Here is a 16,183-nt window from a genome sequence, read left to right as displayed (position 1 = left end):
ACCACCACTTCATCAGACCTAATTATGCCCTTGTGGGAATGCTGGTTCTGTCCTTCTACAGCATCTGCTACGTCAAGAAAAGCAGGAAATCAAGGTATTGGATGAAATCCATCCATTTTCTTTTAATTTTAGTTTAAGTTCCGGGATACATGTGCAGAGTGTGCAGATTTGTTACATAGGTAAACATGTGCCATGGTGGTTTACTGTACCTATCAACCCGTCATTTAGGTTTTTAAGCCCCGCATGCATTAGGTATTTGTCCTAATGCTCAACATTAGCCACTAGCAGGGAATCCATAAAGTAGTGTGCTAGTCAAACAAGGCAAGTGTTAGGACTGTATTTGTCCCAAGAGCTGACATTTTATGGCCTGTGGCATAATGCTGTCCTTGATAGTGAGATTCTGATGCTAGCCGAAAGAAATTGAGGCAGGTTTATGTTTTTTGTGTTTTGTTTGTTTTCAATGTGTAAAACCATCTGGTACAAATTTGTGCCTCATTGTCACCATGTTCTAGTTGTTACTACTTTTCCAGTCTCCTTACAGACTCTCATGTAAATAAGATGTAGGTTTCACCACATTTGTGAATGGAAAATCAATTCATAGGTGCTTCTCTCAGGAGCTGGATCCTGAGAAGGAATCTGGGCTTAGGCGAGAAGCGTGCTAGGATTGATTAGTGATGTCTTCCTCAGGTAGGTGCCAGGGCCCTTTGCTTGTCATGTCTGTCTCTGCCATTCTAGGTTATAAACCCAAGTCCAAAGCCCTCAGGAGGTTCTAAAGCCTTTTATATCCCATTCTGCACACCATGTTCCAATCACCAATGATACATATAACACATTTAGGAAACACTGACTTAGAGGATTTGTTTCTGGAAAACTTTGCATACCCAGTTAAAATGGCTCTGTTGAAATCCTATGTAGATTATTCATAAATGTCATTTGACAGTGCCACTGAGGGTGTCCATGTATGAGGTGTCGTGACTGAATTGAACCCCAGAGCAGCAGCGTTGCCTACTCACCGCATATTTTTACTATAACCTGACAAATAGCCTGAGACAAAATTATCCGCCCTAAATACCAGCAAGTAACTCTCAGAATGCAACAGGCTTGTTTTAACCACCATCAGCTGCAGAAGCCTCCTTTTTTACCTTTTGTAAATTGAATGAGTTTTCTGACCCTCCCTTCTCACAGTGAGAAATACTGCAAAATTACAGTAATCATTTTCAACATACAGACACGCATTCCTAGCGGTTCCCAGATGAGATTATCAAGGTAGACTGCAAAACCCTGACTTCCACAAAAGAGTTCCATGTTCAATTAAATGCTGCACAATGAGGGGATGCGGTTACCATCCACAGGCCCAGAATAGCCCACAGAAAACATAAAGGTAGAGGTTTCCTCAGAAACTGGAGTCAAGGCGTTTTGGTTTAGATGTCGATGCTTGGGGACTCTCTGTGCCAATCTGCTCATACAGCATGGACAGAGTCACCACCTTTGCAGGGGTCCCAGAATTAGACTGTGGCCATCTGCTTGCTGCCTGGTGCTGAAGTCACACCTGCTTTCTTCCTAGTATCTCTCGCATGTCACAATAATCATCAAAATTTAAGCAAATGGAAACAACAAACATTGAGATAATTTGACATACTTAATGTAATTTCCTAAACCCTATCTTGGTGCATCCCAAACTTCAGGCATTTTGCATTTTATGTATCATACCCAAAACTTTTGCCGTGTTGACGTATCATCTATAAATTACTGATTTAATGTTCTAAAATCTAATGGTTCTTTTTTTTTTTTTTTTTTTTTTTGAGACAGAGTCTTATCCTGTCCCCTAGGCTGGAGTACAGTGGCACAATCTTGGCTCACTGCAACTTCCGCCTCCCAGGTTCAAGCGATGCTCCTGCCTCAGCCTCCTGAGTAGCTGGGATTACAGGCGCACGCCACTAAGCCTGGCTAATTTTTTTTTTTTTTTTGTATTTTTAGTAGAGATGGGGTTTCACCAGGTTGGCCAGGCTGGTCTCGAACTCCTGAACTTGTGAACCACCCACCTTGGCCTCCCAAAGTGCTGGGATTACAGGTGTGAGCCACCTGTAACCCCACGCCCGGCCTCTTTTCTGTTTTTTAGACCGAGTCTTGCTCTGTCTCCTGTGCTGGAGTGCAGTGGTGCAATTTCGGCTTACTGCAACCTCTGCCTCCCGGGTTCAAGCAATTCTCCTGCTTCAGCCTCCCGAGTAGCTAGGATTACAGGCACCTGCCACCATGCCCAGCTAAGTTTTGTATTTTTAGTAGAGACAGGGTTTCACCATGTTGGCCAGGCTGGTCTCGAACTCCTGACTTCAAGTGATCTGCCCGCCTCAGCCTCCCAAAGTGTTGGGATTACAGGCGTGAGCCACTGTGCCCAGCTGGCTTTCTTATTTTAACTAGTTTCATGCTATCAGCCTTTTCTATTCTGACATTTTATATAAATGGAATCATTTTATATTGATCTTTGGCTGGCTTCTTGCCCTCGGCATCCTGTTTTCAAGGTTTACCTATGTTGTTGCATCTACCAGTACTTTGTTCTTCTTCACGGCTGAATCATATTCCATCCTATGGCTACAGCACATCTTTTTTGTCCACTCCTCAGTAGATGAACACTTGGGTTGTCTCTCCTTTTTAGATATTATGAATAAAACTGCTATTAACATTCACGTACAAATTTGTGTGTGGACATCTATTTTTATTTCTCTTAGGTGCAAACCTAGGAGTAGAATTACTGGACCATATGAGAACTACATTTGACATTTTGAGGAACAGTCAAACTGTTTTCCAAGGCAGCTACACCATTGTACTTTCCCACCCACCAGCTGTCTTGAGTGTTCTCATTTCTACACTCTCGACAGCAGTGATTTTGGGAACAAATTTCTACATCAAGTACCAGCTGCTGCAATCCAGAGTTCTCTACCCATCCACAAACATTTCAAAGAGAACTTTATTTGGGTTGTCTGTCCAAAGGAAGAATTCTCCATCGGGGATGATGCCCTATGCATCAGGGATTCTTTGCAGAATCTAAACGTGGAGACAAAATCATGAATGGAAATATCTTCCAGCTTATATTTTTCAATTTAGACAATGTTTTATTTCTAATACCCACATGTCAACTAAGCATGCTCTGTCTAAAGCACTGACTAGAGTGGGCATTCATTAAAAGCTTCATTGAATATAGGACTGAATACAGATGTGATTAAAAAATGAACAATTGAAGAGATGAATGAATGAGCGCAAGGGCTATTTGTCGAACACCCTGTAGCCGCCTGATGTGGTGCTAGATGATATGAGTGAAGACGTGGACAAGAGAGATGTGGAAACTCCCAGAGATTGCATTCAACTGTGGGAGACAGAAAATAACAAAGCAAACAAGTCAAAGGAAAGGCCCAGCTATAGGTAAATCCTCTAAATTAGGGGTGTCCAATCTTTTGGCTTCCCTGGGCCACACTGGAAGAATGATTGTCTTGGGCCACACATAAAATACACTAATGATAGCTGATGAGCTAAAAAAAAAACTCATAATATTTTAAGAAACTGTAGGAATTTGTGTTGGGCTGCATTCAAAGCTGTCCTCTGCCACATGCCGGCCAAGAGCCGCAGGTTGCAAGAGCTTGCTCTGAAGGAAACTAAAGAAGACAATGGGGTGCAGGGTGGCCAGGAGGGGAGGGCCAGAGCAGCGGGCAGGGTCTGCATTCTCCAGGGCCTTCCAGACAGTCAGGGTGCAAAGCAGAGAGGGCCTCTGGACGCAGCTGTGTCTCCTGCTACTCTGGGCCTTTAACATTTCAACAAAATTGTCACTGTAAACCAAAAACAGAATTCTAAGCTCCACCCCACCCCTCCCCCCTCAACCATCTGAATGGACTTCCTCCTCAGCCAGGGCTCTTTTAAAATGTAACCTGAGAGACTAGTTTGGGCCATGATGAGAAGTGGGGGACGGACAGGCCTCATTGTACCTCTTCGGCATTAACATCAACACAGACTAAGTCTGATAAGAAACATTTTACAACCTATTCTCTCTAAAACCTGCTACCTGAAGGCTTCCTCTGCAAATAAGAACTTGGGTCTCCACAGTCCTTTATCTTAATCCAGACATTCCTTTCTGTTGATCCCAGGCCTTGAGATAAACTCAACCAATTGTCAACCAGAAAATATTTAAATCTTCCTATAAGCTGGAAGTTCCCTCCCCATTCAAGTTAGCCCACCCTTTTTAGACCAAACCAATGTACATCTCAAATGTATTTGATTGGTGTCTCATGTCTCCCTAAAATGTATAAATCCAAGCTGCACCTCAACCACCCTGGGCACATGTGTTCCGGACCTCCTGAGGGCTGTCACAGGCCATGGTCACTCATGTTTGGCTCAGAATAAATTCCTTCAAATATTTTACAGAGTTTAACTCTTTTTATTGACATCACCCACGTTTCTTATTGGTCTCTCCTTAAGGACATCAGTGAATTATTTTGATCCCTGGAAGAAAACTTTAGACATACTTTTACCCCCCTCCTGTCTAACTCCTACATTGTTTCCTAAATTTCATGATTTCACAGCCAATTTTCCAAAATTCTCACCCAATGAACATTGTCCACTGTCTCTTCTCTGACCTGGGAGTCGACTCCAAACTCCTTTGTTCATGAGCTCTTCCCTTGCAGTCTGTGCTCCTTCTCCAATCTCATTTCCTAATACGCTTTCCCAACAAACTGTGCTTCAAGAAAATCACTATCACCCCAGTTTCCCAAATGCATCAGGCGGTTTTTGTTTCTATTTTTTTATTTTTGAGATGGAGTCTTGCTCTGCTGCCCAGGCTAGAGTGCAGTGGCACGATCTCAGCTCACTGCAACCTCCACCTCCCAGATTCAAATGATTCTCCTGCCTCAGCCGCCTGAGTAGCTGGGATTACAGGTGTGGGTCACCATGCCCGGTTAATTTTTGTATTTTTAGTAGAGATGAGGTTTCGCCATATTGGCCAGGCTGGTCTTGAACCCCTGACCTCAGCTGATCTGTCCACCTCAACCTCCCAAAGTGCCTCCACGCACGGCCTCAGGTGGTTTTTAAATAGCCAAGACTTTTTCAATTGTGAGACTTCCTGATTTCTCATTGTCTTCCTAATCAGAGCCCTCTGTTCCCTCTCAGCTCCTGTTTGCCTTTTGGGATCCTTCTCCATCATTTCACCAATCACCAAAATCAAGTTTACTGTCACCTGCTGCTGAGCTGATGTAGCACACTGTCCCATTCTTACCTGTGCGTTTCATAAACTACTCTGTAAACCTTTCAAAAGCTTAACAGTGAGTTATTCATCTTTATAGCATCAACACTCAGCACAGTGAATGGCACAAAGTGTGTGATTGACAGGTGAATGAATGACAAACCCTTTTTCCCTTTCTCCTTAGCTGGAAACCCTGCTCAAAATGACACAGGAGTTAAAAAGCAATTACTTAGGCAGATAAGGTATGGAAGTCCCTAGTAAGGTTTCCCTTTTAATGAAAAGCAGCCCCAAATAATTTTCTTTTCTAACAAAGAGCAGCCTGTAAAATCAATCTGCAGACACAGACAAGCAAGCTGGAAAGTTGCACGGGTGAGTACCTGCAGCTGTGCCAACAGGAAGAGGCCACCTGGGGCCAGGCATGTCCAACATGGAGGCTCCATCTTCCCTTTGCCTTATCAGCCAGTTGCACAGTAAGGAGCAGACAACACAGCTCTGGCCCGGTTAAAAAATGCATTTGCATAATAAAAGATTAGGGTGGGGAGGCCAGCTTCTTCACATGCTATGTAAACGTCACACCTGGTCCAACCAATCTTTGGGCCCTGTATAAATCAGACACTGCCTCCTCAAGCCTGTCTATAAAACCCTGTGCACTAGAGCAGGCTGGAAGTCCCACTCGGGCATCCCCCTCTCTCTCAGGGGAGAGAGCTATTCTCCTTTCTTCTTCTTTTGCCTATTAAACCTCCTCTCCTAAACCCACTTCTTGTGTGTCCATGCACTCCATTTCCTTGGCATGAGACTAACAAACCTCAAGTATTTACCCCAGACAACAGTGCCGCTTCAAAAAGACCAAGATGTGAGGCAATTGGACGCACCTAGCATGTACCTCCCAACACAAACAGCTCCAGCCTGCCTTGCAGTAGACTTTTGACCCAAGACGGCTCTTTCTCGGGAGTTTCGGTTCTGACCTTAGTGGAGAAGATTATTTTTCTCCCTGTTTATAGAATTGCATAGATATGAGCTTGAAGCTACTTATGGCAACCTTCCAGAGAAGTTTGTCTGGAGAAGTAATAACTTACATATAGAAACAAGAAAAAAAAAAAGAAAGTGTGAGTCTCAGTTTCAGCTCTGGTTCCTGTCATCCAGAAGACTACTGACTTCTATCTATTAGCTTATGAGATCCAATCTATTCCTTTTCTTCCCACCTTTTTCCTGGAGGAAGAGTTCAATGGTGCTCATCTGGGACAATTTTGCCCCCAGGGGACATTTAGCAATGTCTGGAGACAGTTTTGCTCCTCACAACTTAGAGGAGTGTTGGCCACTGATGGTGGGTAGAGGCCAGGAACGCCGCTAAGCATCCTAAAATGCACAAGGCAGCCCCTACACACACATAACAAAAAATGATCAGCCCTCAAATGTCAGCGTTGGAAAAATCTGAATTCGTTCACTCATCCCTTATAGCAAGAATGCTAGCCAATTCATTTATATCTCAGACGTCTGAAGGCTACGCCCTGAGGCTGAAGGCTGCACACTCTACTTTGTGAGGGAAATCCATCAGGTTACATCTGCAAGTCAACTTCACAAAACATTCATTCTACAGAGGGGAAGTTTCCATGCTAAAAGAACTGATTTCTGTTTGCACACTATCTTCACTGGAATGGATGCGAAAAACACTTTCTTCCTTCTTGGTTTGGCTCCCTTTTTGTCAATGTTACAGACATACCTTTGAAGTTAAATTAAGTGTCAACAAAGCTGATTAGCCCTGTTTTTGTTTTTGTCATTGTTGTTTTTGAAACAATTCTATCAATGTTTCAAGGTTTATGCAGGCTGTAGCTGTGGGCTTATTAATTTAACTTGGAAGAATTCTGTCTTCCTGGAGAATAAAGGTCTATTTTTCTGCAATTTGCTGCCTCTGCGCTGTTTAAGAAACCTTGGTCCCTGAAGTCTTATTGATTGGTGCAGGTCACTGATTTTTTTAATGAACTCCTGTTCAATACAGAATATGAGTGGCCATCTATTGATTCAAGTTCAATTTCAAGGGATCCCGTCTTTGCAGAGAAAGGCCCTTCTAAATGTTTCCTGTTTTCCTTTTTTTAGTTTGGCTTTTTTTTTTTTTTTTTTTGCTTTTGCTTCATTCTGTGCTGTTTGCGGTACACCTCACCTTCAGTACAACAGTGAAATGAGATGCTGCTCCACATGAATGCCATTGATTGGCCATCTGGTTCCCTGCAGAAGTGTTTGCTTTTCAGTTGCTTCCCCAGAGGGTCAAAAGCTCATTCTAGACATTGATTGACCTTAGCATCCTCCACCCAGCCCATCAGCACTCACCGTGAAACTGCTATGCAGTCGCGATTCACAGGACCCTCCCATAAATACACCACCTAATTAAAAAACATCCTTGAACATCATCAGCTGGTTCCTCAATTTATAGAATACATTATGGATGGTTGCTCATGGCCAACTAACACACATTCTGGAGAAGGGTGAATCAGGCTCATTTTCCTTGTTTAATCCCCGAAGGATCGTGGGCATGTAAATTCTCAAGCCTTAGTCTCTAGCTGTGAAATGGAGATATCATTCATATTCTAGAAATATGTCTTTCAAACCTGTCTTGAAATAATCAACATAAAGGGCTCCTGGAGGGGCCAGACACCTGAAATCCAGCCAAGTGAGTTCTCCATCCCCTTCTCTCCTGGTTTCTGTAAGGAAAGGATAATGAGAAGGAACTTGAGGAAACTGGCAACTCTTCTCATATTAATCCTAAAACAGACCAGAGGACCCTTCCATAGAACAGACTACTTATTTTGAAAAGACTAAGAAACCAAGTCTTGGAAATATGAAGCCACTTGCCAAGGTAACCAAGTGTGGTGGAAACAGGATTTGAATTCATCCTGTGTGGCTCCAGACTCTGCATTCTGCTGCGTGGATGTCAACACAGGTGTTTACCCAAACGCAACCACAATTCTAAAGGCTGTTTAAAATGTGTCATCAGAAATATGAAATAAAAAGGAATGGAGCATTTTATTTCCATTGTGAAATGAACATGTGTGTGTGCAGGACTAGAGGAGAAATAGTCTTGGGGAAAGCTGTAATAGATAAGGTGATCGGGTGGAATTTGGATGTTTACAAAATCTATTTAAGTATAAAATGGAGTAGGGAGTAAATGACAAAGCCTCCAGGACTCTAGGTGAGCTAGCAGTGAAAAGAAGGAATCAGGGCCCTCCTGGAACTTGGAAAGGGTGCAAATGTGTCTGCCTGGCTCTCAGGCTAAACTCCAGCCACCTGCTAGAAAGCTGCCCAACGAAATCTCAGGAATCTGTATACCTGACAGCCACACTTAGCAAGGGGCAGGGTCACTGCCCTGTTCAATGTCAATTGGGCAGCCAGCCGGGTGGCAGCGGGGGCAAACTTCAATCAGAAAAACTAGTTTTCTGCACACATCTTTAAAAGCACCTTACTCTCTGCTTTGTAGAAGCAAGCACTATGCCTTACAGTCTTTTATGGAAAGATCAGCTTTCTGAGACAGAACCAAGTGGGGGAAACCAAACTCCATAAAGCAGGTGCCCTCAAAGGTCAGCCAGGCTTAATCTGCCACCACTAAGGATGCTGAGAGGTGTTAGCCGAGTGAATGCAAGACAGTGTTGCCACTGAACTTCAGAATGTCTGAATGTCACTTTGTGTTAGAGCAAAGATCACAAGGGAGAACTTGACAGCCTTAATAGCTGTGACTAATAACAGCCTATAAGGTTTAGTAAAAAGAGCCTAATAAGGGCTGACCACAGCTGAGCTATGGCCCTTTTGAGTGGTCAAAGGAAAGGGCTCTCCTTTCTGTTCTCAGCACACCTGGAAAATGCTCCCTTGCTTAATTCTTTAGCCCTGCAGAGACACAAGTGAATTATTTCCAGGAACAGCAAAAATCATTATAATAAAATGATATTTTATATTTGTTTCACGATTTGCATTTTACAAATTCCCAGTTGTTCAAAATTCCTTACTCAGTACCGTGTCCCATTTGGCTTAAAGACGCACTTGGAAACATTACTATTTGCTATTTAACTGAGTGACGAATGATGGTATTGTGTCAGGTTCACATGATGACAGGGCTTGGGAGATGACCTGCATTTATCTTTTTGTTAAGAGGAAGAAACTGAGATGCTCAGAGTTGAATTGATCTGCTGATGTTCACAGCGTCAGTAGCCAAGAGAGGATCCTTGGTCCTCTATATCAAAGGCAAAACAGAGTGGTGGGTATAAACATAAAGGGCAGGATAATAGATACATAGGTTCAAATTCCAGACCCACAACTTATCACCCGTGAAGTCTTAGCCCAGTTACCTAAGCTAACTGTCACTCAATTTCCATGTCCGTAAAATGGGGGATAGTAAAATTACCTCCCTTGGAATGATTGAGCCTTCAATGAACTAGGCCACGTGAGTTTCTTGAGCAGTAACTGGTACATAGAAACCATTGCACAAACATTAGCTGTTATCATTACTTCAGTGCTATTTCTTCTATGCTATACTCATGTTTCAAGAGATCAGTCATGATGGAGAAGAAATTCATTATTTTTTGTCTGCCTAATAATAATTTCTGTTTCTTGAAGTAAAAGCACTCTGCTTTTCTTTTGGATAACCTCCACTTTCCAACGGCCAGTGCCTGCTATTTGAGTATAGGGCTGGATCCAGAAGTGGTCAAGTTATACAAGCAGAACTGACCAGCATATCCCATTCGCCTGACCAAAGCCATTATTTTGGACATGAGCATGTGGACCGAATTGCCCCAGTCAAAGCCAAATTTCAGGGCTTATTCCGAAACTCTTAGGAAAGAGAAGTTCCCTGAAAGCTTGGCTTGCTGAGCCTGGACTGCTTGACCCCCATTGAGAAAGGCATTTCCTGAAAGTAATTCGAATCAAGACAAAAGCGAAGCCAAATGTTGGAGTCAGAACCCTGCATGCCTTGCTTGTGAACCAAGATCCAGCTGGACCTAAGTCTGGGTCATGTTTAGTCTGACGTGAGTCAATATTCCATCACTTCCCTTAATTTCGCTTGAGCTGCTTTTCTGGCCCATGAAACTGAAGAGATCCCAGCTAATGCTCACAGTAACTTTTACAGGAGCCCAATATAAAGAATAGGAAGCTGATTAATTCTGCATAGGACAGGTGTTTAAATTGTGAACTAAACATCAAAACAGAAATAAAGGCTGTCTTTTGTCTTACGGATCACAAAATAAATATGTCTATAAAAGAAGACAATCAGGGCAATTTTTAAATAGGGTCTGAGGTCTGAGACACATTGGCAGCCCTAAGCGCTCTAAGACATCGCTCTTCTGTGAGACGTGCTCTGGCTGGTTGGAGATTTGGTGTGTGAGGCAGGGCCGAGGAAGGAGAAAAGCCCCTGGCAATGTTATCGAGTGAAAGGGGAAGCAGGGAAGCTTGCAGCTGCAAGGGGCCATGTTGCAGGACTTCAACTAAGAATGTGAGTTCTGGACTGGGCGAGCCAAAACAGAAATGAAGAAGAAAGAACTCTCTAATTATTATTGACATCAGAATCTACATAGTAGAGCAAAAGGTTAAGAACAAAGCTTTATCTATAGCGAAGTCAACAGGAAATAGATGCCACACATCCAATTAGAAAGAAAAAATAAATGTTTAAATTATAGGTGTAAAAAAAGACAAAATTAGGCAATAACATCCACACCGATTGACAATTTATACTTAAATGCTTGACTCCTGGTAACAAAGGGAAGGAAATTCATGCCCAGTAATTCATAGGAAATTTTGCCGACAACTGCCAAGGAGACGTCACCTTGAACATCTCTGGGTTTTCTAAACTTGTTGGTAAAATCGAGTTAGCACGGCTCTGCTGCTGTCTTCTGATAAGAAAGATACACGTGCAAAGGGAGTTAGAGTCCTATTTCTTAATTTCATATACTTTTCTTATGTCACCAGAAGAATATTGAGTCCTTAGCACTAGTTTTAGTTGTACCCACATCTGTGACTAAGAATCTACCTTCCACACTTTCTTCAACTGACCCTGATAGGAAGGTGAACCTATCAGTCAACAGGCAGAATTTACTTGCAAACTTTTCTTAGTGGGCTGGGGTAGTGTTTTATTATTTAATTTGATAAATAGGCAACATTTAAAAATCAAAACAATGGAGAAGCACTCCTGGAAGGGCAGACTTCCAAAAATTCTACCCTCCATCAACTCAATGAGAGTACTGCCAACAATCGTCAAAATCAATTTATTTTCAGAACTCTGGAAACTAACTAAAGGCTTGTGACAATCTCAGGAGTGTTCATTTAAGAAAAATCTACTGAATCTCAGTAAGAACAGTGAGCTTTGTGAATGTCTTAGCTTGCGCCATTTCCATGCTTCCACTCCCAGGCTCTGTGGCAGCTTTGAAAATCTGTCAGCTCCATGGAAAATTTCTATTCTAAAGGTTTTTCTTCAACTGACTTGTTCAGAACTTTCCCAGTCAATAGCCCTTTTTGCATCAAGAGTTGTCAAAAGTAATCTGCAACAACTGTATAACACTGTAACTGCCTAAAGCTATGGTTGTGGCTAACAAGAAGCTGACATAAAACAGAGAAGGAAAACCTTGGGAATGACTGGGAATGACATCCCCACAGGGGCTTTGGAAGGGTCCTACATATTCCTAAGAAAATAAAAGGCCACATGCATATGTAGGACTGTGCACATCCCAGGAATGACCTGAGAATGTGCCAGTCTCTCACCTCTCGCTGACTGTGAGGCTCTGCACAAGCAGGAAGTGAAGGCTAAGGCAGAGAGCTGCAAGCGGTCTGTCAAATTTCAAAGCAAACCTCATCAAGCACACAGAGCACCTGGGTAAAGGCTAGGAGACACATTGTCTCAAAGCCTTTAAAGGGGTATAAATCATTCTACCATAAGGACAGATGCATATGTATGTTAATTGCAGCACTATTCACAATAGCAAAGACATAGAATCAACCTAAATGCCCATCAACAGTAGACTGGATACACAAAATGTGGACACATACACCATGGAATACTATGCAGCCGTAAATCAAGTCCTTTGCAAGAACATGGATGGAGCAGGAGGCCATTATCCTAAGTGAACTAACACAGGAACAGGAAACCAAATACCACATGTTCTCACTTATAAGTGAGAGTTAAGACATCAGACATTGAGTACATATGGACACAAGGAAGAAAGCAAAAGACACTGGGGCTGACTTGAGGGTGGAGGTTGGGAGGTGGGTGAGGATAAAAAAACCACCTGTTGAGTACTATGCTTATTACCTGTGTGATGAAATTATATACCAAATCCCTGTGATATCTAGTTTACCTGTGTAACAAACCTGTACAAATACCTTTGAACCTAAAATAAAAAAGTTTTTAATTGGAAAAAATATAAAATTGCCATAGGCCGAGGTGGGCGGATCACGAGGTCAGGAGATGGAGACCATCCTGGCTAGCACAGTGAAACCCCATCTCGCAAGCTCCACCTCCCAGGTTCATGCCATTCTCCTGCCTCAGCCTCCTGAGTAGCTAGGACTACAGGCGCCCGCTACCACGCCCAGCTAATTTTTTGTATTTTTTTTTTTTTTTAGTAGAGACGGGGTTTCACCGTGTTAGCCAGGATGGCCTTGATCTCCTGACCTCATGATCCGCCCTCCTCAGCCTCCCAAAGTGTTGGGATTACAGGCATGAGCCACTGCGCCCGGCCTCTTTTCTTTTCTTTTTCTTTTTTTTTTTTCTTTTCTTTTTTTTTTTTGACAAAGTCTTGCTCTGTTGCCCAGGCTGGAGTGCAGTGGTGGAAACTCAGCTCACTGCAACCTCCGCATCGCAAGTTCAAGCAATTCTCCTCCCTCAGCCTGCCAAGTAGCTGGGATTACAGGTGTGTACCACCATGCCCAGCTAATTTTTGTATTTTTAGTAAAGATGAGGTTTCGCCATGTTGGCCAGGCTGGTCTTGTACTCCTGGCCTCAGGTGATCTACCCACCTTGGCCTCCCAAAGTGCTGAGATTACAGGCATGAGCCACCATGCCCTGTCTCTGCCCATTTCTTACCTGACTTCTAATCTAATCAAGAAGAGGCTCCAGGAGACACAAAAAACAGAAGACACAGACTTTTAAAAATTTGTCCAGGAAAGCTACTAAACAAAAAGGCAACAAGGACAACAAAAATAACAAACACCAAAAACAGTAAACCCTGGAGAGTAAAGGGGATTTGATTTCTGGAACTGCCACATTATAATATTCAAAATATTTAGCATTCAACAAAAATGTATTAGATATTTTTTAAAAATCTGGGAAATTATGGTGATATGTCAACCAATAAGTCCATATTTAGCAAATGAAGGGGAAAAGAGATATTCCAAAATGAAGGGGAAATAAGAGATTCTCAGATAAACAAAAACCTGAGAGGATGCATTACCAGCAGATTTGCCCTGTTTTAAACACTAAAGGGAGTCCCTTCCAGTGAAAAGGCAAATATTGGCAACAACAACAACATTATTCAACTCTATGCTGCCTACAAGAGACAAATTATAGATTTTAAGACACAATAGGTTGAAAATAAAAGGAGAGGGAACCTACCATGAAATTAGTACCCAAAGGTGAGTTGAAGTGACTATACTGCTATCAAAACTGACCTTTAACAAGAAGCGTTATTAAAGCCGAAGAAAGACATTTGAAAAGATAAAAGCATCAAAAAATATGTCAAGATAAAAGCAATGACTACAAATGCATCTAACAGTAACATCCAAAAATACATCAATTTTTTTTTTTTTGAGATAGAGTCTCGCTCTGTCACTCAGGCTGGAGTGCAGTGGTGCAATCTCGGCTCACTGCAGCCTCCGCCTCCTGGTTTCAAGCTCTTCTCCTGCCTCAACCTTCCGAGTAACTCAGATTACAGGCATGTGCCACCACGACCAGCTAATTTTTTGTATTTTTGGTAGAGACAGGATTTCAGCATGTTGGCCATGTTGCTCTTGAACTCTTGACCTCAAGTGATCCACCCGCCTCAGCCTCTCAAAGTGCCAAAATATATCAATTGATCAATCAATTATTCAAAAATACTGGAAGATGTCAATATTTCACTTTTAATATAGTGTAGAGAAACTAAAAATATTATCTTCAAGGAAATAGAAGATTTGAATATGACTATAAAACAATCATATCAAACAGATATCTATAGAATACTCCACCCAACAATAGAAAAATATACATTGTTCTCAATAGTGCCTAGAACATTCTCCAAGATAGACTGTATGTTAGCCATAAAACAAGCTCCAATACATTTAAAAAGATTAAAAACCTGCAAAGAATCTCCTCAGCTCAAAGTAGAATAAATGTAAAAGTCAATAATATAATGTAATTTAGGAAGTTCAGAAATATACAAAAATTAAACAATGTAAACAATGAGTCAAATAATAAATTATGAGTAAAGTTACAAACTACTTTGATATGAATGAGAACAAAAGCACAGCATGCCAAAACCTATGAGAAGCAGCTAAAGCAGGGGTCAAATGAAATTTATAGCTATAAACACACATTAAAAGATCCTAAAAATTTCAAGTTCACAATCTCAACGTCTATCTTAAGAAACTAGATAGAGAAGAAGCAAACTAAAGTTAAGTCAAGCAGACAGTAAACCAGGATTAGCAAACTAAATCCAAATAACAACAGTAATGATACCATTAAAGCAGAAATTCAAATCCAAACTAAATCCAAATAAAACAGTAATGATACCATTAAAGACTGATTCAGGAATGGGCATCATGATATAGAGAATAGAAGTACAATAGAGAAAACCTACAACATCAAAATTGGTTTTCAAAATGATCAATAACATTAACAAATCTTTAGCTAGACCAACCAAGGACAAAAAGAGCAAAGACTTGAGTTTCTAAACCAGGAATGAAATGGAGGCAGCACTACTGAATGAAATAAAAGTGTTGTAAGTTGATACTCTGGAAAATTATATGAGAACAAATTAGTTAACCTAGATGAAATGGACAAATTGGTAGACACTACCAAATCTCACTCAAGAAATACATTTATAGAAAATATGACTCAACCTATAATAAACTCAGTGATTAACTGGAATTGCAAAATTTTCCACAAAGGAAATCATTGTCCCAGATGGCTTCTTTGGTGAATTCTACCAAACGTTTAAAGAAGAATTGAGGCCGTGCCTGGTGGCTCACGCCTGTAATCTCAGCACTTTGGGAGGCTGAGGTGGGCAGATCACCTGAGGTCAGGAGTTTGAGACCAGCCTGGCCAACACGGTGAAACCCCATCTCTACTAAAAATACAAAATGAGCTGGGCATGGTGGCACACATCTGTAATCCAGCTACTTGGGAGGCTGAGGCAGGAGAATCACTGGAACCAGGGAGGCGAAGTTTGCAGTGAGCAGAGATAGTGCCACTGCACTCCAGCCTGGGCGACAGAGCAAAACTCCATCAAAAACAAACAAGCAAAAAAGAACAAAATGTATTTGCATGCATGACTACCTACCAAATACAAATTGTTTCATTTAAGAGATTTCACACACAAGTTAAATACTATTGTATCTGCATTTGAGTCTGTCATTGTACACAACGAACATGAATAATAAACCTCAGACTAATAATTTAAATTTAAAATTTTCTTTAAAGATATCAAATAGCAAATGTAGAAGAGTATGCCAAGTTAAGAGAAAGACTGTGAAAGATAGAAAAACACTTTATAAGGTAGTACCTTTAATGTCATATTTTCCTGCTGTTTGAAGAGAGGCCCCACATTTTCATTTTGCCTGACACATCATGGTGCCTGCTCTGATCAAGGGAGGCGGACATAAGATCTGCACACCACAAAGTCACAAGAAATGTGTGGATGGACAACAGTGTAGATCAAAAGGCAGCTCTCTCTCTTTTACATTTTTAGAGCACATTAACTATATTTTTTGTATGGACTTTGCCACATTTTAGTTTGA

At 41.6% G+C, this 16,183-nt stretch overlaps 1 annotated feature.

The window, feature by feature from the left end:
• Nucleotides 1,627-2,126: an enhancer, noted in NCBI's record as "H3K27ac hESC enhancer chr12:128080981-128081480 (GRCh37/hg19 assembly coordinates)". NCBI's record gives its function as "activates a minimal SCP1, AML or CMV promoter by ChIP-STARR-seq in naive H9 embryonic stem cells {active_cell/tissue: H9 hESC(naive)}" and the evidence as "EXISTENCE:reporter gene assay evidence [ECO:0000049][PMID:30033119]".

The sequence above is a fragment of the Homo sapiens genome, chromosome 12, assembly GCF_000001405.40.
Source record: "Homo sapiens chromosome 12, GRCh38.p14 Primary Assembly".
Lineage (NCBI taxonomy): Eukaryota > Metazoa > Chordata > Mammalia > Primates > Hominidae > Homo > Homo sapiens.
Note: the sequence above shows the minus strand (reverse complement) of the source record. Positions and strands in the feature narration are given on the sequence as shown.